This window comes from Homo sapiens, chromosome 2 (assembly GCF_000001405.40).
Source record: "Homo sapiens chromosome 2, GRCh38.p14 Primary Assembly".
In the NCBI taxonomy this organism is placed as follows: Eukaryota; Metazoa; Chordata; class Mammalia; order Primates; family Hominidae; genus Homo; species Homo sapiens.
Genome location: NC_000002.12, coordinates 40,091,964 through 40,115,770, shown reverse-complemented (window position 1 = coordinate 40,115,770; position 23,807 = coordinate 40,091,964). Strand labels below are relative to the sequence as shown.

General features: G+C 36.8%; 1 protein-coding gene and 1 long non-coding RNA gene across 24 annotated transcripts in view, besides 1 other annotated feature; one reads left to right on the top strand and one right to left on the bottom strand.

Moving 5' to 3' along the window:
• SLC8A1 (solute carrier family 8 member A1) overlaps nt 1–18,501 on the top strand; it is a 415,166-nt gene extending 396,665 nt beyond the window's left edge. For all 23 annotated transcript variants that reach the window (NM_001112802.2, NM_001372263.2, NM_001394106.1 and 20 more), the window contains one exon: nt 142–18,501. In NM_001112802.2, the coding sequence (NP_001106273.1) occupies nt 142–518 (377 nt within the window). In that variant the 3' untranslated portion in view covers nt 519–18,501. The remainder of the gene's footprint in view (nt 1–141) is intronic.
• Nucleotides 1–23,807, bottom strand: part of SLC8A1-AS1 (SLC8A1 antisense RNA 1) — a 337,576-nt gene that overhangs the window by 139,439 nt on the left and 174,330 nt on the right. The window contains exon 3 of the long non-coding RNA NR_038441.1: nt 10,809–10,862. This is a non-coding gene — a long non-coding RNA (SLC8A1 antisense RNA 1). The remainder of the gene's footprint in view (nt 1–10,808; nt 10,863–23,807) is intronic.
• Nucleotides 19,068–19,362: an enhancer, noted in NCBI's record as "tiled region #6978; HepG2 Activating non-DNase unmatched - State 22:ReprW". NCBI's record gives its function as "activates a minimal TATA promoter and a strong SV40 promoter by Sharpr-MPRA in HepG2 cells {active_cell/tissue: HepG2}" and the evidence as "EXISTENCE:reporter gene assay evidence [ECO:0000049][PMID:27701403]".

Below are 23,807 nucleotides of genomic sequence, written 5' to 3'. Positions count from 1 at the left end.
TCAGAGGAACATCAAAGCCATTTCTTGGTCACTGGGTTTATATTAAGGGTTGGGTCCTAGAGTACACAGCTGAAGCTTGCAGCACTCCAAAGACATCTCTAAAAGATTGAGTGTCATTGACTTTCTCTTCTTCCTCTGCAGACACATTTGCCAGCAAAGTGGCAGCCACCCAGGACCAGTATGCAGACGCCTCCATAGGTAACGTCACGGGCAGCAACGCGGTGAATGTCTTCCTGGGAATCGGTGTGGCCTGGTCCATCGCTGCCATCTACCACGCAGCCAATGGGGAACAGTTCAAAGTGTCCCCTGGCACACTAGCTTTCTCTGTCACTCTCTTCACCATTTTTGCTTTCATCAATGTGGGGGTGCTGCTGTATCGGCGGAGGCCAGAAATCGGAGGTGAGCTGGGTGGGCCCCGGACTGCCAAGCTCCTCACATCCTGCCTCTTTGTGCTCCTATGGCTCTTGTACATTTTCTTCTCCTCCCTGGAGGCCTACTGCCACATAAAAGGCTTCTAAAGGAACTATCAGATATAGTAAATTTATATATATACATATATATACATAAAAATTATGTATAATGGACAGAGGAAACTGACATTTGTCATGTTCACTTACCTGCTGATGGAATCCAGCTTCAAGAGCATACTCTGTACTAGGGCCGAAGTAAAAAACCATCACCTCCCATTCCCAGGGGCATCATCATGTTCAACAAGGCATGGAGGCAGGGCCATCTTTGCAGCTCAGTCTAGAAGGGCTGCACTCTCTCCAGGTTGATAAATCCTTAAGGCTTTGATTTGTTTTGTTTTTGGTTTTGTTTTCAGTGGAGCTGGGGAGGTAGTTAATGTTTGGCTTTATTTTTGTTATTTTGTTTTGTTTTGTTTTTTTGGGAGAGTCAGGGTTGTTGCTTTTCTTTGTGGAAAGTGAAACCATCCAAATGTAAATGGGTTTTGGTAAAAATTTAAATCATTAGTATTCCCCCTCACCTCCCCCAATCACTTTAAAACTTATTTTGGATTAAGAAAAAATCTGGGCATGGAAGAAGAAAGAAGCATGTCTTCATCGTATTACCAAAGTTCATGCTTATCTCCGGAATGTGAGTGGAGGTGAAGCTGCCTCCAAGAAGAAGCATAAAAGTGGAATGGAGCCAGGAAATCCGATGGTTCTAGAAATAGTCTGATATTTAAACATGTGATACCTGGCAGTCTCGTTTAACAGGTACAAGGAAAACGTGCCTAGATTCCCAGGAACGTGCAAAATCCTTTCTTTCTTATCTCTTTAGCTCTGGACTGTGATTGGCAAGGTCCTTCTTCCAGCATTCAGCCCAGCTAAGCCCCCAGGTGCCCCATCCCAACCCTGTTCCTCCTGTCCACCTGCCATCCCCTATGCAAACAGTAAGAATAACCCCATTCAAAAAGCACATCATCGTTTTCCATTTGCATTAACATGTGTCTCAGTCCCATGTTGCCGTTGCTTGGGATTGTCTGTCAGTTTTATTTTCAAAGGCATCCATGGCTTGCACAATCCTGTTCCAGTCATGACTGAACATTTGCTCCTTCTTCATGTGCCGTTCGGAAATGTTGTTGTGATACCTGTTACACAGTGCATGGTGAAAAACAAATAAAACAAAACAAAGAGTATCTGTATATAGTAGAGTATAGTACATACTGTTCTCCCATTTGGCAATGTTGATTGGACATTGAAGACATAAGTGAGTTTTCTTTTCACCTGAGTTGTTACTTTTGTGCTGTTATTGAGTTTGATTAATTACTAGGGATAAAAGGAGAAAATGGATTATTGTTCACGGTTCTGCACATTCATTTCTAAGAAGCAATAACTGTCATGTGGGGAGAAGTTAAAGCTATTGAGAGGATAGCAGGCAAACTACAAAGATCTTCATGGAAAATTAGCCATGTGGAACACATCAGAGGCCTCTAAAAATCACCCATTAATTCAGGAAGGCCAAGGAGAAAGGCCTTATAGAGACGTTGATATGTTGGATGTGCCTAGGCTTTCAGAGCCACCCTTTCCACAACACCCCTCCCTGCAAAGTATTTATTTCACATCTGCACTGTCTGGCACAGATGGTAGATAGTGCTGGTTTGTTCATTTTATTTTTTTACTTAAAAGGCTATTTTGAGCCCTGTTTCTTTCACTGTCCAGTCTAGTCCTCTTTGATTATATCAGTAGTTGCTGAGTAAGAAAGAAGCCAGGGTGACCAACGGGCCTTTAAAAGTGTTGTCTCCTCTACTTATGCTGAAAGAGAAGGCAATTAAATAAGACTAGTACCTCCCAGGAGGATTGGACTGGGATATTTTTAACCCTTTAAAAAGAATAGCTGTTTCTATGTTAAAATACCAAAGAACATGGATAAACCCAACATTCCAAAGTAGTGAGTCCACTAATGAGAAAAATAATAGAATGACTTTGGTCACCTCTCGGAGACTTCTGTGTCTATAAGGAATCCCAGGCTGGAGACATTCCTAGCCCTCTGTATTGATTCAAAAATACTTAATAAATTAAAGCTGTTGAGACTTATTTTTTCTTCTGTCACTCAGTAACCATGATCCTTCCTCATTTAATAAACATTTGGTGACTGAATGAGTAATTAAATGCTGGTTACCCACTTAATGTGCCAGGTAGTATGATACTTTCTGGGGACTAAGCCATGAACAAAACAGTCTAGATCCCTGCCCTCAGAAGGGTTACAGTTTATGTGATTACTATTTTCATGAGTAAAAGTGAAGAAAGCCATATGGAAAGATTTTTATCTTGCAAGAAAAAACAATTATGAAACTCTTTTAACATAAACACACTGAAACTGTATCAAAGCAATTGTCCAAATTGTATTTATACCCAAGAATTTCTTTAACTAAGAGAGCATAAGGCATATGTTTGGAAAACCACCCTCTTTATCTTTGACCGACTTGCAGATAAATATATCTCTCCATTTTAAACCAAGAAGGGCAATCATGTTGGTGATCCAGATCACTGAGAAAGCCCAGTGTATCCCATCTTTTATCTTTGTTGGCAATGGAACTTTTCTATGGCCCACACTTTACAATTCTTTGTCATTCTAACCCATCCTTCCCATCCTTATTTTTTTTTTTTTTGAGAATTGCTAAATGGAAAGCTAGCCTAGAAGCACCAAGTAAATATATTCAAGGAATATAAGTTGTTTAAACATTAGAAAAATTTTTGCACTCATTTTTTAGCTGTATTAGGAATGTCAATAATCCTGTAGCAAATTTTCACAGAGAACTTTAAGAAATTCTTGCATTGGTCGATTTCAATTTGAAAGCTTTTTGGTTTGTTTGCTTTTTAAATTTTCATGTTCTAGGAAACTATGATTCTGGTTGTTCAGGATTGTTATTATTATAGTTGTGTAAAATTATTTTATTTTGTGTGTATTGTGCACAGCTTGGGGGGGGGGCGGGAAATGCACTAATTGTGCTCTTCCTTATAAATGGTACATATTACTGACACAGACAAATAAAGTTTCTAATTGTTTCTGATTTAATCACTAGTGATACAGCATATTCTGTATGAAATGTTTTCTCCTTTCTCATTGTCATCTACTTCATTTTTTGTTTTCATGTTTTGAAGAAATAAAAACCAAAATGGTATTATTGTGCAACTGGTATCATCATCCAAAGAAAAAAACAGACACCAAGTATTCAAACTCTTGCAAACGTCAACCCTTCGGTCATGCAATGTTCTCTTTTTAATGTCCCAGGAGAACACAGTGTCAGAATATTTGTCTGTCCTACAGTGCTGAGATATATGTTGGACATTCCTCCATTTCACTGATTTTTTTTACGTTGCTTAGTATGACTCTATCTACATCCTTTCCTGCATCCAGGATCATAAGCCCATAAACAGTTACATGTCAGACAACTTTTTAGCATGCAGAGTATTACATCAAATCAGTCGATCCCAAAAAATTCCAATCCCAAAATTGATGGTAGTACAGTTTCTTCCCAAGGGGATGTTTAAGTAAATTTCTCTTTTAGTTTCATATGTTATATTCCTCTTGTAGAACTTCTGCCTCGCATTAACGATTTCTGTCTATATCTTATTAACTTCATATATCATATAGTCAAAACAGTATAGAAGGAAGTGATGTCAGAAATGGAATAAGCATTTGTGGGGAAAAAATGTGACCTCTAAGGTTTGTGTACTTATTTGAAGTTGACATATTAGTGGACTTAGTTCTTACTATAATAGAATCTGTCCACATGTACAAGTAAATGCTACTTTATTGATCCGATCATCTTTAAAATTTTCTTTAGTATTCCTCATTATATTCTTTATATGGTCATATGTGGTATACTTTCATGTATGAATGAAGGAATTATTTAAATATTTTATAGTATCAAACTGTCAATATGTCTCTTGAGTACCAGCCTTTGGTTTAACACAAAATGAGCAGCCAACCTCTATTTCTTTATATAGCAAAAAGATTAATTCAATGACCAGAGCTCCTTGACCGTCTAACAACCTTTCAGAAAAATTCTGTGACCTGATAATTATCAGTTTCTTACAAGCAAATTTTAATGGGTTCAAATTTCCTGATTCCATCCTTCAACCAGTGAGTGTTTTATAAAATTTTGCTTTTTGTAGTTCATAGCCTAATAGCACTAATTTTTTGTTGCTTTTCAAACATAAAATTTTTACAAAATATTGTTTTAGAAACCCTGCAAAAATTCTGATGCATGCCTTTCCCCTGTGGCCTCACTATTAATGAAAGCTCACCACTCACATTGCATTTTCCACAGGGGTCTTGATTCATTGGTGATTCCACAGCAAAAGGTCCCTGATCCTAAACTGTCAAAATAAAGTAGCGAGACTGATATACATCTGATAACTTTGTGGAAGCAATTAGAAAATTTTCTCTGGTAGATGATGATGCCCTCCATCCTCTAATAGTGGCAGAACTTTGCCTTCTCAAGAGAATAAATCAGCCCCTTTAAGACTTCTTTTAATATTTTTGGGCTGGGGATATGGAGTCTCTCTGTTGATTCTGACTTTCTGACTATGATTTTGGGCAGTTGCATGCAGAGCAAGTTCTGAGTGTAGTTTCATAATCTCAAGAACGTTTGGCCATTTTATGATTGACAGCATGTAATATTGGATCTCACCTGACCTACAACTGGCATTCAGCTTTTATCATTGTAATCACTTCACTTGGCCAAGGCAGTTGGTAAAACTGAGCAAAGTTAAATATAAATTCCAATCATTAAATTGGTGAGTGCATTATGCAGAAGATACAGAATCCTATTTCAGAAAAAGAAACATGCTATTATAAGTGGATTCCTTAGATTTTGTTCAGCTCTACCTACGGAGTTTTGCTAATAGAATGTAGTTCTGCTATTCTTTTTTACCATTATGTACTCACCACTTCTAACCATCTTGTTGTCTTCCCATCACGCAGTACATTTCAAAATGCTGGGCGGTCCCGATGGTATTACACCCACAAGGACAGCATAGGAAGGGTAAACAATTGAAATAGATATTTCATGTTGGGAGCTTAATTAGGCCATGATTAATCGTCTCTCAAAGCAGAGACTGTCTTATCTATAAAAGGAGCAACCACTGAGAGGTGGAACTCCCAAAGGAAAGCACTGCAGGTTTCCAGCCCACAAGAAATGGTACGTATTTCACTTTCTTTGACTTTTTCCCTGCCTGTCAAGATGTCCAAATGTACTCAGAGGCTGTCCACATTTTCAGTTTTGTCAAAGGTTCTCTGATTCAATTTTGTAAGAAACATTTAAATCAGTGGTTATGTAAATTATTGTTTATTTTGTTTTACTTTTAGGAAAGAGCATTACTGTATAACTTCAAAAAGCAATATGACTTAGTAGTTAAAATTATGACCCATATTTTTTCAGGAAGACTTGCTTGCCCAAAATTGTCTTGTCTATCTGTTATCAATGTAGTCATTCATAGCTGCCTCAGTGGTTCACATTTTTTAGAATTATGCTTCCCTAGCATTTTTTCAAAGAGTTGGAGAGTTTTCCCCATGGGAATAAACAGTCTTAATATTTCCTTTCCCTAATTTCAGCCTTTGCAGTTCTTCGGTGACTACTCCCATTATATCCAACTACCCTTAGTGATGCTCACTATTACCTCCCGGCAATAGGGAAAGAGCTTATGCTATAAAGTGATTGCTCAAGACATGTTTTTCTGAAAGTGAACTTATCATAGGAGAAATCAAATATAATGACATTCCACCTAGATAAGAGTCACTAGGACATAGTATGGAATCTTTGTAAATGAGCGGGACAGATCATACCTACAGTTACACATATAATAGTGTTGTTTATTTTATACCTCTTGAATCATATTTATTATGCTTCAGTGCTGCCCATCGACCTAGCCTTTTATTCTATCAATATGTAGGTGTGGATTGGGAATGAGAACCGACATTCACATCCCTGATGCTCATGAGGGTTTCTACAAAGGTGGAGTATGTAAACATAGAAAAACGTAACAGATAGCTTCCATGCCTCTAAGAAATATGAGTGGGTCAAATGCTTCTCTGTGGGTACTATTTTTCTGCTATGCAAATGGTAGAAAAGTTCACATTAATAGCCAAACAGACCAAGAGAGAAATTAGCTAACTTCACTGTTAATCTGTCTACTTTGACAGTTAAGATATAGCCCAGCCCTCCTAATTTGTTGACTGCAAAGACAGATACGCCTAGTTAAATCCAAGAATGCACTGGGGGACGGGGGGATAAAGTTACTAGAATAATTATACAACCCTCCGTACTAAGATTGCTTATTCGCCAAGAAGAATCCTGCCCAGAGATTTTCAGAGACATTTCCTTACATTCCCAACCTTCTTTTAATTTACACAACTTTTTAATTAGACCCCTTGAAGCCACATAGTAAAACAAGAGATGAATTATCTAAGGAGAACTTTTGGCCCTCCCTCTAATGTGAAGATCACATACTTGACTGTATTTCCCATTCTTTCCAAATGGAAAGAACAGTCCAATTAAGTAACCAACTATGTAACCACTTTTTGACGTAATTCCACCTAAAAAACAAAGAGTGAACTAAATTGTACAAACATTAAACCTAACAGTGATATGACCAGATGGCTAGTTTTGAGAAAAATAATATTTTCTGTAGATACCTTGCTCTCCCTTCCTGTACTCATCCTAATGCTCAAGTTTGAGAAATACTCCAAGGAAGAAATCTTGAAAGATTGTACATTCAAATAATGCTCATGTAATTGAGTAATATGGCATTTGGGATGAGAATAAGAGCGTATTTAAAAATAAGAGAATTGGCACAAAAATGTGTTAACTAGGATTTTATTACAAATTGCCCTAAGATATTTGCAAGTTATTATATTTAAGTGAAATAAATCCCAGTTTCCAGAAACAACAGTACAATTTATATTCGCAGGTTTTATATGAAAATCAAAGTTGGGCATACATACTTTTTGGCTTTGGCAACCAAAGAAAAGCATGTTTTTGGCACACGTTTCCAAATTATTGAGTTATTTGTAGAATACATTGGACCTGTACAGGTATCTCATTAAAATTACCTTCAATAATTTCCCTTTCTTCCTTTAAGCCATCAAGTTTCTAAATTTTACAACTTCACAGTTTAGCAATTTCATTTATGAAAGGCTGATTCCATTTTGATGTTGATTTTTACATTTCAGAATTTTTCATATATAAATATTTGATGCATTAGATGGGATACTGAGCTTGAGTCTGGCCCAAATGAACCACAAGGCCCAGACTGATCTATCAGTAGTTAGAAGGCTTCTAATACACTGGCTTTCTAATGTACAGTAAATACTAGCGTTGTTTTCAATATTCTTTCTTTTGACTAAAAGTTTCCATTCCAACTGGTGAAAAATTTTTAAAAAATATTTATAATGATAGTTAGAGAACTGTTTATATGAGGATCAGACATTGTTTCAGCACTGGATCTCCTCTGTCCCCTCTCTTGCTACAGCATACAGCCCAGAGACACACATGTAAAAGTAGGTGATCTCTGTAAACTTCAGCTGCATTTCTGTATGTCTAGGATTGTCCTAGTATCAGATATCCTTTGAGAAAGAGTTGGAGAGGCATGGAAGGAAGCATATTCCTGACCTCCCCCCTTTTTAGCTAAAGATACAAATTCAGAGCTGTTTGAAAAGGGCTTAGAATAATATTAATTAAACATATTCTATAATACAAAGAGAAGTACTTTTTTAAAATACATTTATTTTTCTTTCTTTTTTAGCAGGCATTTCTGACAGAAAATCTTTAGGGCCAATTAGAGTTTCTTTCTGACTTTTAATTGCCCTCTGCCTTTTGGGAAAGTGTTGAAAAAAGCTCTGGAAAAAAATATGCTGGTCAAGGTCGAACCCTGGGGAATTAAAAACATGAGATTTTTATATTTTCCCTCCAAACATAGCACTGAGCAGGCAGGTTCCCATGCCTGTTGTTAATCGGCATTTTCTTTTTTTTTTTTTTTTTTTTGAGACGGAGTCTCGCTCTGTCGCCCAGGCTGGAGTGCAGTGGCGGGATCTCGGCTCACTGCAAGCTCCACCTCCCGGGTTCACGAATCGGCATTTTCTAAACACGTGTTTTGGTGTGCTGGGAGCAGAGGAGTAGGAGGCCCACCCAGTCCCACCACACATACCGGGACATCTTTGACCACATGGGTCCTCTGCCGTTCGTATTTTAGCTTAGATGTTCTTAACTGAACTAACTTCCAATTTTCATATACACTGATCATCTTGTCCCTAGCATTTTCCCTCCAAGATCCTGCTAACAGGCAAACTAGCCCTTTCAAACAGTTGGTACCTGAGATTTCTCAGAGCTCTCTTATCAAGAGTAAGGAGTGAGATTGCAGAAGGGGCAGTAATGTCAATACCAAGTTATTGGAAACTACTTAACCAGCCACTGCATTACATACTGGAGCCCGTCTAGGACACTTGCCCTTGGAAATGGTGGAAAGACTTTGTTTTATTTCTATTTCATCAACAGAACTTTTGTAGCATTGAATCTAAGCAAAGGATAACATCATATTATAATGGAAAGTTATTTTTAACTACAACTGTTATTGTTAAATTTAGAAGAAAATATTGTCTTTGAAGTTTCAGTCCAAAACTCTAAGGAGAACAAGGTTTTTACTGCCATCGGTAATCCTGTGAGAAATTTGACACTCCAGATCTTATTTGAGACAGATAAGTCTATGATAAATATATGTATGAGACTTAAAATATTCTTGATATTCTCAGGTTGTTCTCACAAATTCTGCATAGATTTAGTTGTTTTTTTTTTTATGAGAACCTTTCTTATCAAAAAGGATTGAAAATTTTTCCAACAACTGGTTGTTAAATGAGTCTAGCACCCAAAGAAGCTGTGAGCAGTTGGTTCTACCAGTGACTCTTCTAGGAGCTCTTTCCAGGTTGGTCTCGAACTCCTGACCTCAGGTGATCCGCCTGCCCTGGCTTCCCAAAGTGCTGGTATTACAGGCATGAGCCACTTTGCCCAGCCTGATAGTTCTGACTCAATCCCTAGACACATTCTTCAGAAACAACTGTACATGGTGAGAGAAAAGTGAAAAGGAAAAAAGTTTTCCTTCCTTCAAAATACACTAAATTTGCTTATCACCTTTAAAATTTGGACTGAATGTTTAAACTTTAAACACAAAGCAAAGGGAGATGCTCTTAAATGTGAAATCTGAAGCAAAGATTGCATTTTTGCAAAGCTATCCAGAAGATGTGTTAATTATTGAGACATGGGATTCATTAACACATCAGCGCCCAACCACTGCCTCTCCTGCCCCCATTCACACATTATCCACAATCAAATAAGCAGCTAAGCAGGGGAAACCTATCACTGTTAATGTCATAATCACATCACCACTGAATTACCAGATGTGGTCAGGAACTAGGCAAAGTAGGTGGGACCAATCCTAGGACTGGGGCCATACCACAACCTCAGCTCAGCCCCTTGTCGGATACGGTTTCTGAATTTAGTACAATGCCAGAAGTATTTTTTTTCTTTCAGCTGTGAACCAGCCTGTTTTGTTTGACAAGCCTTTCCAGATTCATGCAGCTCAATCACGTGCTTGTTGCCAGTTTGAGAGTGAACCTATTATTTCAAACTTGTTGCCGTGACCAATTTTTACAAAACTGAAAGTAGCACTGTGAGGTGGATTGGACCTAGTGATGAGGTGTCTACACTTGCATCCTTTTCTTCCAAGAGAATATTCTGACACTCCAACTCTAGAAGTCATGTCATTAGTAAAATGAAAATAATAATTGCTTAATCACTGTTTAGAATTAGTTCATACTTCTTCAGAGCTTGAAGCCTCCACGACTCAACATCAGATCCATGGATAGTATTACTATACCTTTACCCAAAGACTGGATTTATTTTGTAAAAATATCAGAATGGGTCTGGGTCCCTTTAAAGCAACTGACAAGGTATTTAACAACATTTTAAAACAATGAAGAAAGGATGATTCTGCAGAGGCTGCTGGGTTACAGAGGAGGGCAGAGCTTTTGTCAGACTCTCTTGATGTTTTGCTCTTCCTGGTAAGTTTTTATCTATCATGGTTCCCAGTGGAATATTCTCCATACACATTCTGTGGGAGGATATTGACATGGCTCTAGACTCTGCCTTTTATTTTCTAATTCTCCTTGGAGAATTAGAACAGGCATTCCAGAACTTGTAATATAGAGGGGAAGAAAGAAAAAATGGCAGATGCCTCATTGATGGATCCACAAGTTTTGTACAAAAGCACACACCATTCTGATTGTCTCTATATTAACATTGTACTCACCAAACAGCTTTCTAAAGGTGACTGGAACAAGATAAATATCAACTGGATAATTACCTAAGGAAAAAGAATAAAAAAGAAATCAAACCAAAAAAAAAGCAAAAAATTGGTCAGTTTAGCAAGCGTGTTTTCCAGGATCATAGGCTCATAAACTATACAGTCAAGAGAGTGAAACAATTTTAAAATCAAAAGTTAGAGCCTTTTATATTTCTTCAGATGTACAATTTCATAAATCAAGCATTTATTTTGTGCAAAGTATTATATTAGGTACCCTAAATGGTATATAAAGAATTCAAAACAGAGTAATTTAAGAAAATTAACACTAGTCTTTGATTTAGTCAGGAAGAGTCCACTTATGGCATTCTAATTAAATTAACCTTCCATTTTGGTCTACATTTTATCAATTTGAGATTGCTTAATGGGGCCATTTTGAAACCTATCAAGAAACTTTCCTCTAACAGAAATAGAAATATTAATTTTCTTAATTTCACATTCTGTCTTCCACTAATAAGATAAATGGATTCAGACCCAACACACACATCCAGAGATTACCATGAGCCAAGACCTGTGTAAGTTTGATATAGGGTCTTTTATTCAACATTTCAAGTTGGGAAAATCTTATTACAAAGATCATTTGCCTCACCATTGCTGAATTCTTTTACTAGGTGTTGATGCTAATTCATCACTGGATTTTCTTAACTCTGCCTGTTGCTCTTTTGGACTTTGAGGCATGTGGTTCTATTTCAGTGAGTTACAACTCCAGCTCTCATCTTTTAACAGCAAACTAGAGAACATCTCACTCTTCATCTCTGAGGACACAGTGTTCTCTTCATTTTAACATCAAAAAGTCACCAGAGAGAAGACCCAAAGGCTTTTCTCTTTGGAAAAGGAATCTTTAATTGTTTCAGAGGGTGAGGAATCTTCAGCTCTCTCTGGACTTGATTGTCCTCATCATTAAATGGGAAGACTTTACCTTTAGCTTGATTTTCCAGAACACATCAAGCCCCGTATGGTCAGTGTTTCCCTGTTATCATCCACTTATGTGTATGGGTTGAAGGTACTTTAAGTTGTGAGCCAGCTGCTGCCCATATTGGGTCACCAATGCACTTGTCAAGCCCATGTAACCACATGAAGTTTGATAGAAATATAAACATTTATTTTGAAATAATTCCATGTGCACGGTTGGAAAAACAGTCTCCCTTCCCTGAGAGGAATGAGTAATTTCTCCCTTTTCAAGAAGTGTACAGTAGAAAATGTAATGAGATTGGAATGGATTCCAAATCAGTGACCTTTTTAAGGCTGAAACCACTATTTTAAATGAAAACTTTAAGTTCATACAGTTTCTTATAGTAATTCTACTTTTATTTTTTAGTCAGTGTGCTTAATCTTTTAGGAAAAAAAACTAACCAGTTATTTTTTACTAAAGTATGTGAATTACAAACAGGATGTGCAATGACCAGGCAGAAAGATATTTAAAGGTGTAATTATTCTAAAGGAAGATGAGAAAAAATTCATCTGCTACAGATTCAACTGTCTTTTAAATGCCTCCCTTGTCATGGAGTAAATGACTACTCAAAAGGATTTCACAAAAGACTTAAATCTCACCCTTAGCAATCAACCGGTCGGCCACAGCTCAGATGCCTCATTAGCAAAATGAAATTGCACAACAGACGAAACATAGCAAAAGAATGTAGACATTTCCATGGGGTGGAAGAAAAGAAGAAAGAAAAAGCAACCATAGTGAACTCTGCTTGCATAAACAAAGAATGTTTTAGTGGAATAAATGTAAGCTTTCTCTTGAAGGAATCCCAGTTAGAATGTCATTGGAAACGGCAAAACTATTTCAGCTTCATAGCAGTAATATATTCCAACTTTATTACCACTGAGGCACAAAGCTAAATTTGTCAGGGGGAAAGGTAAGCAAAAATTACTGACATTGCAACCGATAAAATGATCTTGTGAGACTCAATATTGAGAAAGAAAATTAAAATAGCTAATATTTCTGTTATAATTCCAGTGATTACTAAGACTTCTGCCAAGGGATAAAATTACTTTTCCTTCTCTCATTATAAATTTCTATATAGAGCTATTTTAATGCAGTAAGGACTGTATTTTCATATTTTAATAAATCCCTCACGTTGAATTTGCCCCCCATTTCAGATTTGATTAGGAAATACTAAATTGAGAAGGCAGGTTTTTCCATCTTTTTAAAAACAAGTATGCACCATAAGCATTTTCAGCGGATGTCTGCCTTAAGCAATCTTGGTAGAGCTGTCAATCAGTGGCAGGTGCTTGTTTAAGGAAGAGAACCTGTGAATAGATTTAGCCTTTCTTCCTCACAGACAGCTGCTCATTCACACACGCTCATCTCGTCTTCCTCAACTTCTTGCACCAATCCCGCCTCTTGGATTGACCCACATCCACCTAGCAGTTGAACAAACTGCAGATTCTAATTACATGTCCCGACAGTTGCTCAACTTAATTTTTCACCAACTGAATTTCATGCATTGCCCCTTGATGTTCCTTCCCTCTGTTCACTCTTTTCTATAAGTCCTTGCATTTGATATACTTTAAAATGGATTTGACTAGGAAAAAAAAAAAAACCAAGTCAGCAAACCCTTGTGTTCATTCAAGAAATTGTGAACAAATTTAGCTGTTATGGTAATAATCCTGAGGTGAGAGAGAAAATATCACCTAGGTGACAAGAGATCATTTTAACGCTATTACTAAAATAGTATTCTATGAATAGAGGCCATAGAATTTTCTACAAATAGACTTGTAGGGACTCACATTTTGAATCATATTTTACTTATAGGTTTGCTGTATATACTGATTAAACTTCTGAACCTAAAGATTCTCTATAATTAAACTAGCACAAATATAATCTGTCCCTTACCCACATTGTAAGAATGTCTGGTGGGGGAAATCCAATATTGACCTTCACATTCCACATGGAAAATCTTTGTCCCCAGAGTGCAATTAGGGTGATTAAAAATAAGCCGCTTTTGTGAGTCTCAAGTTTGTTCCCCAAACAAGCAGCATCAGCAACTGGAAATTTGTTAGACATGCAAATTATCCAGTCCCACCTGAGACTTCAGCCCAGATCTATGAATCAAAAATTTTGGAGTGACCCTGGCAATATGGACTTTAATAAGCCCCTAGGATGGTTCTGATGCATGCTCAAATTTGAGAATCATTGATCTATGACACAGCATTCTGAGTGGCCAAGAATGAACAATGTCACCCACTGCTTAATTATGCTTTCCCTTAAGAAAAGGTTTAAATGCTTAAAAGGTAGGTTCTTTATAAAGATAATGCATTCAGATATATGGGAGATATGTCCACCATTCAGACTTAAAATATAATTTTAAGGGACATTAATCCTTATGTCTTTTTCTGGCATAACTGAGTCTGAGGCAGCCTCTCCAGTCAGAGATTTCTAATCAGCTTATCTAGTTCTTTTAAAACCCCACAGCTGATCTACTTTGCCTGACTTCCCCGGGGCCTAGAAAATGACCCTGGACACCTTTCTCTAACTGATTAGCTCTGGCTGATTTGTCTTAATGCTAAACCACTGTGTAACAGTACTAAATTATACTTAATGACACAGTCTACTGTTTTGAAGAGTGCTGTGTATGACTGACTGAGCTAAAAGGATTGCTGGCTATGAGTGAGTTTTAGTTTTAGAATTCATTTTCAAAGACTCACAAGGCTCAAGAAGCTTGAAAACCACAGATGATGTATACAGTAGCTGGAGTTCCCTGGAGGCTCCTTTCTAGGGTCTCTCATTTGAATTGGTGCAGAACTGAAAGCAGAGAGTCAGAAAGTAACTCTGCTTGTAAAAATGGCTTAGGAAAAGGAACTTAAGATTGTGGGTTATATGTGTGTATGTGTGCACACACATGTATGTTTCCTGAATTCTAACCTGAAAATATCACATTTGTGGATACTTAAAATACTCATATGCATTTTGATACACAAAAGCAATTCAAAGTATGTAAAAGGAGGCTGGAAATGTAAGCTTAACAGTGATATTCTGGAGAAAAATGTTGTAACTGTCACTCCAGGCCTCCCTTAGGAGAAACCAAACTTGTCAGATATTTTGGAATGGTAGCTCTTTTTCAGGAATTAGAATAACTGAAGTATGATACTGTGTTCCGTGTGCTTTAAAATCTGTGACCCTCCCCTGTTGCTGGTCATAGCTTCAGCATTTGAGTGTCCATTGTCTGTCGCTGAGGACATTTTCTCATCGGCTCTTTTCCCCATTGTCCCATTCCTCTCACTCACACCTGATTACCAAATAGCTCTAACGAAATCACAGTCACTCCTTCCTGTGTTTCCACCATTGTGTACATCTTCATTTGCACACCCTATTTTTTAATCAAAGTTAAAGCCTCACCAACAAGGTACTTAGAACAATCACCCACTTCTGGCCACTTCGTGACGGGAAATACATCTTTGCAGGGGAAGGAGCTGGATCAGACTGACAGGGTTTCACTCAGACTATTTCAAACAATGAGGAGCCTTGACCTCATTCCCAACTTTTGCCGTCCATAGTGGTTGATTTCTTGTTTTCTCTTTCTCTCTTTTTTTAACAGAAACTCTTAAGCTCAAGGCTAAATTACAGTGGGGACTTGCCTTTGTCTACAGTCCATGGTTTCTGTATTGGCTCAAGCCTTGAAATCTTGAAACAAGCCTAAATTAAAATTTTCTCTTAGCTTAAGAAAAAAAGTTACATATTGTCAAGACCCTTATGTGTGTGGTCCATTAAAAAGGTCTTGATATTAGAAGATAACAGCAAATTGTTTCTTATCCCACAACAGCTTTGCCTTTCAGTGTCCTTTGTGGTGGTTTTCGTAGGTCAGTGGTACAATTCAACACTCTTCCAATAAGCCATAATAATAATTGTTGGCACAACTGTTATTACAACAGGACTTGCCTGGGTTCCATCTATTAATTTTTACAGACAGTAGGAAGCTCACACCGAGGAGACATTGGTAACTTCCTGGACAAGGGCAAAGAAAGGAACTAGCATATTGTACATACTGTGTACGTGCACAGAACACTGGTCTGTGCCTTTGGAGTGTTCTCAGAGGGGCAGGCCAGAAGGGAGGATTCAGGTAGGAAATGAATCTAGGACTTCTCTTGCCTTTGATGGTTACTGATGGCAATTGTGTTTCCCACTGAATAACTTGGTGGACAATTTTGATAGTAAACTGAACTCATACCGAGCAAGCACAATAGTCAATCCATAAAGAAAAGGGTGGCATATCATAATGCCAGAAACCTTGTCTCCCTAAGAGGTGATCATGAATTTCCTATACAGGGCAAAAAAGGGAAGAATAGCCTATTCATATTCTGTATTCACAGTTTGAAGGACCCATCACAAATGACCTTCAAAGACTGACAGGGGGCAGGTAGAAGGGAGGCAAAAATGCAGAGAAAAAGATGTTACCTTGAAAAATGAAGTAAGAAATCCTAATATTCCCGTAGTTGATCCTAAAGTTTGTTCCCATGTCTACGGTTATTTCTAAATAACTTCACTACACTTTGAAATTCCTTAGTGGTGGTTTATCAGTAATACTTAACTGAATTTTTCCGTTTCTATTCTTTGCTGCCAATGAATGTAATCTCCACGACTTGCCGTTCGAGTGCACGCACAGACACACACACATAATGGTATATGCATCATATATTACTCATTTTGTGGGAAACACAATGTATTATAATGAAAAAGATTCCAGCACATTCTTTCAGTGTGTTTCAGTGATAAAATTTTGTGGGGGAATAGAGGTATACATACTCTCTTTGCTGACCATATTGTTGAAATTATGATCTTAAGCAACACTGTTAGAAATGCTTGCATAAAGTATCTTCTCTAGTATTAATGAGTTGATTCACTCTGAATTGAAGGTTCAAAAAAATGCACTAAACAAATATTTTTATATCTGTGGTATTTTCCTATTAACTACTCTTAGTGAACACGTGACCATATACCTGATATCATTAAAAAGGAAAATGGCCTAAACGAAACGTTAAAAGTGGAGGTATTTATAAAGTCTTCTGCCAAAGACCATTGTTTAATGATCTGTAAAATGTAGATTATCTTCTTTTATTATGAATGTGATTGTAAGAAACACCCTAACATTCTCTAACTTTTGAAAATGAATATTTTGTATTTCTAAGGACCAAGGAAAATATTTTTTAAGCCAATGTAGTACACAGAAGCCTTGTAAATGAGAGGTACAATGACTTGGATCAACTGCATAATGCTAGATTAGAATTCCAGCATTTGATGATAAATTTATCAATCTTTCCTATAATTCTTATACTGCACTAAATTACATTTTGGAAATTTTAGCTAATCTTTTCAAATTAAAGGCACCAACATTAATGACAGATCTTCTCTAATATGAAAAGCATCAAAACATTCCCTTTCAAGCACTTTGAATGGATGAAAATTGCCATATAATTTTCCCACCTACCTAACCATTCCATGTAAGTTAACTGAGCAGTCTAACAATGTTGTACAGAAGGTTGACAGACTATGTGCACCAAGAATATTTAAGTTGTGCAGTTAGCAAGAACTAGCCATTTCAAATATACTCAAATGTTTTGTAAATAAAAATTTTGACTCCTATAATTTTGTTCAAACTGATGTCTTTTAAAATAATTAGATTTTATTTGAATTTTAAAAGTAATCTGTTGTAAATTAGATGTTACTTTGTTGACTCTGTGATTCAATGTACACTCAGCCATATTCCTGTGGGGAAATATCAATCTTACTGACTTTCATGGCATGAGCCAGAGATTCATAGTTTCCTTTAGGACTATAAGTATGAAGACAAAACACACCAAAATAAAATGCTAGTGAAGAAATTAGAAACCTATTGTATAAAATGTATTTTTAAAATCTTAAGATATATGTGATTTACACTGCCTGTTAATCTAGTCTCTTTGTGATTAAAAAAAAACATAATATTTGTTAAGACTCAGACACCAAATATTTGTGATGTTTGTATAGCACCATCGTTATATGTGATTTCAAAGGGTAAGCATCTCTGTCGTAATCATGTAAGCCCACAGAAGAATAAATTCCTGAGGTTATGTACAACCAACTCTCAGAATTCAGACTTCCTGCAGCTGCCATATCACCAATAAATGAGAATTGTGAAAAACAATTTTTAAAGAATTGAGTTTATGATCACTGTGCATTTTGTTAATGAATGATTTCAGAGTTTTATTTTTACCAGAAATGCTCTCAGCCAGTAAACACAACTGCTGATTTCAACCATACTATCATTTCAATGGTTTCTATATTCTTGATCTAACTACCAAAAACTGGAAGCTTGTTGCAAGGTGTGTCCTAACAAACATACAATAAATGACTCTTCCTGCATGCTGCCTGAGATATGTTGTAATTTGAAATGTCTTATCAAAAAATTATACATGTTATAACCCAAAGTTGAACTGGCAATATTTTTCATGTGTAAAATTGATGGTATGTTAATATCAAAAGCAGAAGCATTGTTTGTCATACATGTATGTTATATGTGATGTTTAATCGTGTTAAACTGTAATCTGTGAAGTTTTCATTGCCTGAACTAGTCAATTCTGTATAAATCATTGTCTTAATTGTTTTCCTAATCTTACCATATTTCCTAACACTGAAATATAAATGTTTGTCAATTAGCCATTCATATTGTATTGATCTTTATAAACTTTAGTGTGACTCCATTAAACTAACCTAAACAAAGGAAAATCAAAGCTTTCCCTGTCATAGGCTCAGGGACATTTTACTTACAGCCAAAATCATTTATTCATTGAATCAACAAGTATTTATTGAGTATCTACTGTGAATCAGGCTCTATACCAAATTTTGGGAGAATGCTTAAGAACGAGAGAAATCCAAACCCTATATTCCCCAGTGAGAATTTTTGAACTCTACCTAAAGTATTCTTCTGTAACTTCCACTGAGTTAAGAAATTATTTTGTTTCTCCTATGTTATAACAAAGATTAAAGTTATCCACAAAAGAGTCTTAAATTAAAATATGGCACATTCAGTCCAGGGAAATGCCACTATCACTCACCAAAGCATTGAGTCTCAAAGTCCAGCTTTAAAATAAGTTAAAATAAAACTCGATTTAAGAGATTTGACCGTAACTCTGGAAATAACACTTCAAAGTCCCTCTCTTGAAAACTGCACATTGTGTCTATTTCAAATCATTATTCTAAGGTTCTTTGCTGCACATAAAATGCAGCACCAGACCACACTTTTTCAAATGGTGCCCCAGGAGGTGATCAAGGATATCTGTAAAAGAAGAGGAAAATGGCTGAAAGGATAAATATGTATCCACAGAATACCATAGAGGGAAGAGGGAAAAACATCCAGGATGTTTTCTCAATGACTCATATACTTACATGTGCCAAACCTGTTATCACTGTTTAAAAGTGCTTGTGCACACACACACTCACAGCCAGACTCACATCTCCAAGCACATTTCCATTTCTCTTATTCAAGGAGATGCCCCCATTGTCTTTCAAGGTGAATTGTGGCCATAACAAAGATAAATGAGTCTCAGATTCATACAAGTCAAAAGCAGATGACCAGCACCTGGAAATACTAAAGCCCTGAGCTCCAAGGCAATTCGATAATTTGAAAGAAGCATGAAACCTTGTAGTTTCTGCCATTATGGTACTCGGGGTAATGAGATTGAAAAGTGGTCTATGCCTTGATCTTGGTATTTTAAGTTAATTTTTGCAGCACTTAAATATTCCTCTGAACCTATTGAAAGCTATTGTAACTTGCCATTCTTACAAGTATTCATTAATTCATTCACTGTAAATATTTGCTAAACATTGAAGGTGAGATTACATCTATCCATACAACCATATGTGTGCAAGACAGAACAGTGTACATCAATGCTGGTTAATAAAATCAGAAAACTCTGGATTTAAATTCTAGCTTTGTCAGTCTACCTGGGTAGTCTACCTGGGTAGCTCTTTCACCATTCTGAACCTCAATTTCCCTGTTTGTAAAATAAGACTGATAGTACCTGCTCTTTCGTGTTGTTGAAAGCATGGAATACAACAATTAACATTTGCTAAGTGTTTGATACAGTGCCTGATATTCATAAGGTACTCAATAAATGTTAGTCGGTGTTTATGTCCTATATGGTATATATGTCCCTTATGCCAGTGACAAAGACTCTCTACTTGACCAAACTTGAGTCAGGCCCCTCTGAGCCCTCTTCTCTCTACCAGGCCTTGAACTTGGGCTCCTTGTCAACTTAGCCTAGTTTTAGCAAGAATCCTTCTGGGTCAGTTTAGCAAAAATCTCCCATTCTTGATAGCTAATCAAATTCTTCATTCCCCACCTTTTCTATCTTATCACCCTGGCCTTTATTCAGCAAGAATACAGTTGAGTCAGTCTAGCAAGAATCCCCGTATAGACTTGCTGTTTCCTCTTAATAATTTTCTATCCACTGATCCCCACTCTCCTCCTTGGTGATAAATTTCCACTTGTCCTTTCTCTATTCAGAGTTGAGCTGAGTATCTTCTCCCTACTGCAAAATCCCACTGCAGTCAGTAATCTCCTTGTTGAATAAAATCTTCATACTGTCTTTAAGCAAATGTCTTTAGCAAACGAATAAATTTTTCGTTAACACCAGCACCATCTTTCATGCTGAAAGATGAAAAGACCAGATAAGCTGAGTTCTAACTCTCTTCATTACAGTCACTTCAGCCAACATTTATTGAATCCTTGCCAACAAACAGGCAATGACTAAGCCCTTTACTTGGGTTAGATCCTCGATCCTAATAAAACCCTTCTAAAAGAAGTATAATTTCTACTTCATTTTACATGTAAGAACTTGAATCTTAGAGAACTTAAGTACTTGCCAAAAATCACACTAAGAGGCAGAACCAGAGTTTGAATTCAAGTCTATCTGACTCCAAAGCTCAAGCTTATAATCATTTTGCAATTCTGTCTTCATAAAACTTGAAAACATCTGCTCGGTTTAAGTAAACTCCCAAAGTGACATGAAGTGATAAAATGATAGCAAATATCCTCCAATAGACACAACCTAGACAATCACAATGTACACCAGGTCAGTCAAAAAAATTCCATCTAGATTTGATGTACCACTCCACAGTAACAATCACCCTATATATCATCATAGAACTTATTATTTGTGATAATAGATTATGCAGAATATCATATCAGTAGAGAGACTTTAAATAGTATCCCCCAGTTCAAGGAAAGCACTCCAAAAAGTGTTTCATGCTTCATCAAGTCACCTTGGAAACAGTTCATCCAACGTCACTTTCAATATTTTCAGATAACCATGGAGAATGGATATATTTATTTCTTGCTGTTTTGGTCTGTCTCATCTATAGACATCTGATTTGGGAACAAAAATAAATCTGATTTCACTCACAAATTTACAATATAATTCTTTTCTTTTAACAAAGCAAGTTACAAGATTATCCAGAACAACAGCAACAACAAAAAGGACGTTGGCTGTGGTAGATAATCTAAGAGTGGCAACAATTACCAGTCCAAAAATGGGATTGAGCACACAAGGAATTTTCTCTTATTCCAAATGACCATTCTGTTTTAAGATTTCCCATGACATTAGCTATGTTGCAGCACTATTTTTATCATCTGTCAACAGCGGTGATTCTCCAATCATGCCTAGTCTCCATGCTTAATGGCTACAGGAAAAGATAATACAATAAAATTGAGAGATTCCCAGTAAATTCTTGATTTTTATTTAGATACTAATAATGAACATATTTAAATGTAGGCTCCCAGGATCCAACAACTTTACATGCTTATTCATGTGGAACCATAAGGAGCTCTTCCTAGAATCTATGCCCAGCCATTCAGTGGCAGGTGAAACTTCATTTCAAGAAATAATGGTGAACACACTGCAAATATACAACTAGTAAAATTTTACATTTGACCACTGGTACCTAAGCCAGATCCTTTTTAAGTGACTGACTCCATATCTCATCTGACTGAAAATATAATGCAACTAAATATTTTCAGAAACTGAGATGATAAATCTGTAGCATGTGAAGGTAACCTAAATGGTCCCAGGCATGTTTTATCTTTGTGAGCCATATATAACATTGGCTTTCATTACCAAGGATCTTATATTGTAGGAATATCTTTATTATCTGATAGCAATGCCACATTACTAAATAGGCTACATGCAAAAAAAATGCCCTTTAGGTTCTTTTTCTTACTACGTGTCACTAAAAACAAGGTTCAATGTAATAAGAGCTCATCAACAGAAAACAGAAAAATACAGCAAAAGGTCAAGCCTTTATCAAACAGCTGCAACTGTCTGACAGCTCTGCTGATTTTACTTGGTGAGAAAAAAGTGTTAACAACCTTCTTTGGTTACCATGAGAACTAGAAGACAAACAATCAAGCAAGTTTCTAAGAGAGAGAGAGAAAAAAAAAAAGCATGTGACCGTCTGTTTTAAAACTCTAGCCAACAAATTCCAAGTGTATATAAGCCCCAGCCCAAAAGAAGCCAGGACCTAAAGACGCAAATGAAAAAATCTTGTTCTTAATTAATGAGGGCACTCTGTTTGGGTACAATGTGAAAAGAAATTAGGCAAAAATCATGCTTCCTGCGGTTAGTGATTACAGAAAATCGGTACGTTTGTGAATGAGGCTACCACATGCTTCATTCCTTACACTTTGGTGGGGGTTCCACTAAGCCAGGGTTCCATAAGTTCCAGAAGAATGAACTCAAAATTCCTAACTCATCTCCTGTGGACAAACCAGAACGTAGACATTTCTCACAAACATCCTTTCCCAAAGGTTTTTCAATTCAATAAGAGCAGATTACCAGAGTGCCTGTGTCTTTCTGAAGATGATTTAAAGCCAAGTACAGACATTGGTTCTGTTCATCAAGAAACTCACCAGCATCAAAATGATTTTTTAAAAACTACACACACACAACATGGCTAATAAGAACAAAGACAATATGAGGGCCTTCTAGAATTGATGAAGGATGCAACAGAACAAAACCATAGGCAAAATGTCAGACCCTTTCAGGTCAGTTGACCAGGGCTCTCCATTTTACTGGAGACAAACGAAACCTGGGATACAGAAACTTTTTTTTTTTAAGTTCAGGGGTATGTGTGCAAGTTTAAGTTCAGGTAAACTTGTATCATGGGGGTTTGTTGTACAAAATATTTCATCACCCAAATATTAAACCTAATACTCATTTGTTATTTTTCCTGATTCTCTCTCTCCTCCCACCCTCCAGCCTCTGAAAGGGTCCAGTGCGTGTTGTTCCCCTCTATGTGACCATGTGTCCTCATCATTTAACTCTCACTTATAAATGAGAATATGCAGTGTTTTTCTGTTCCTGTGTTAGTTTGCTAAGGATAATGGCCTCCAGCTCCATCCATGTTCCTGCAACATGTTTTATAGTCATAGGAAGCACGGATGCTCAACCTGCTGTGACCTTTGAAAAATCATGATGCCTGAGTTTTCACTCTGTAGGGTGAATCCTATGAGTCTAAGCATCACTGTATTGCAGTTTTCTAACTCCTAATATTTCTCCAAAGGGGCAGTATACAGTAATGGTTAAGGGCATATATTCTGGAGCCAGACTACTTTAGTTCACATCCTGCCTCTGCTATGCTGTGTGATCATGATCAAATTATTTACTTTCTCTGTGCCTCAGTTTTCTAATCAGTAAAATGGGGAGAATTATAGCACCTATCTCATGGTGTTCCTGCAAAGATGAAATGGGTTAATATGCCCAGATCCCTTAGGAAAGTGCCTGGCATGTAGTGAACGTTATATAAGTGCTGCATACTATCAACGCTGACTGGAAGATCAGAGCTGTGATAGTGAAGTATGACTTCTTACTGTATGTTTAAGAAAACAGAGAAAAACCACGATAAACAGAAGCCACTGAGATGCAACTGGGAGGATACAAAAGTAAAACAAAGTGGTGACATGGAAATGG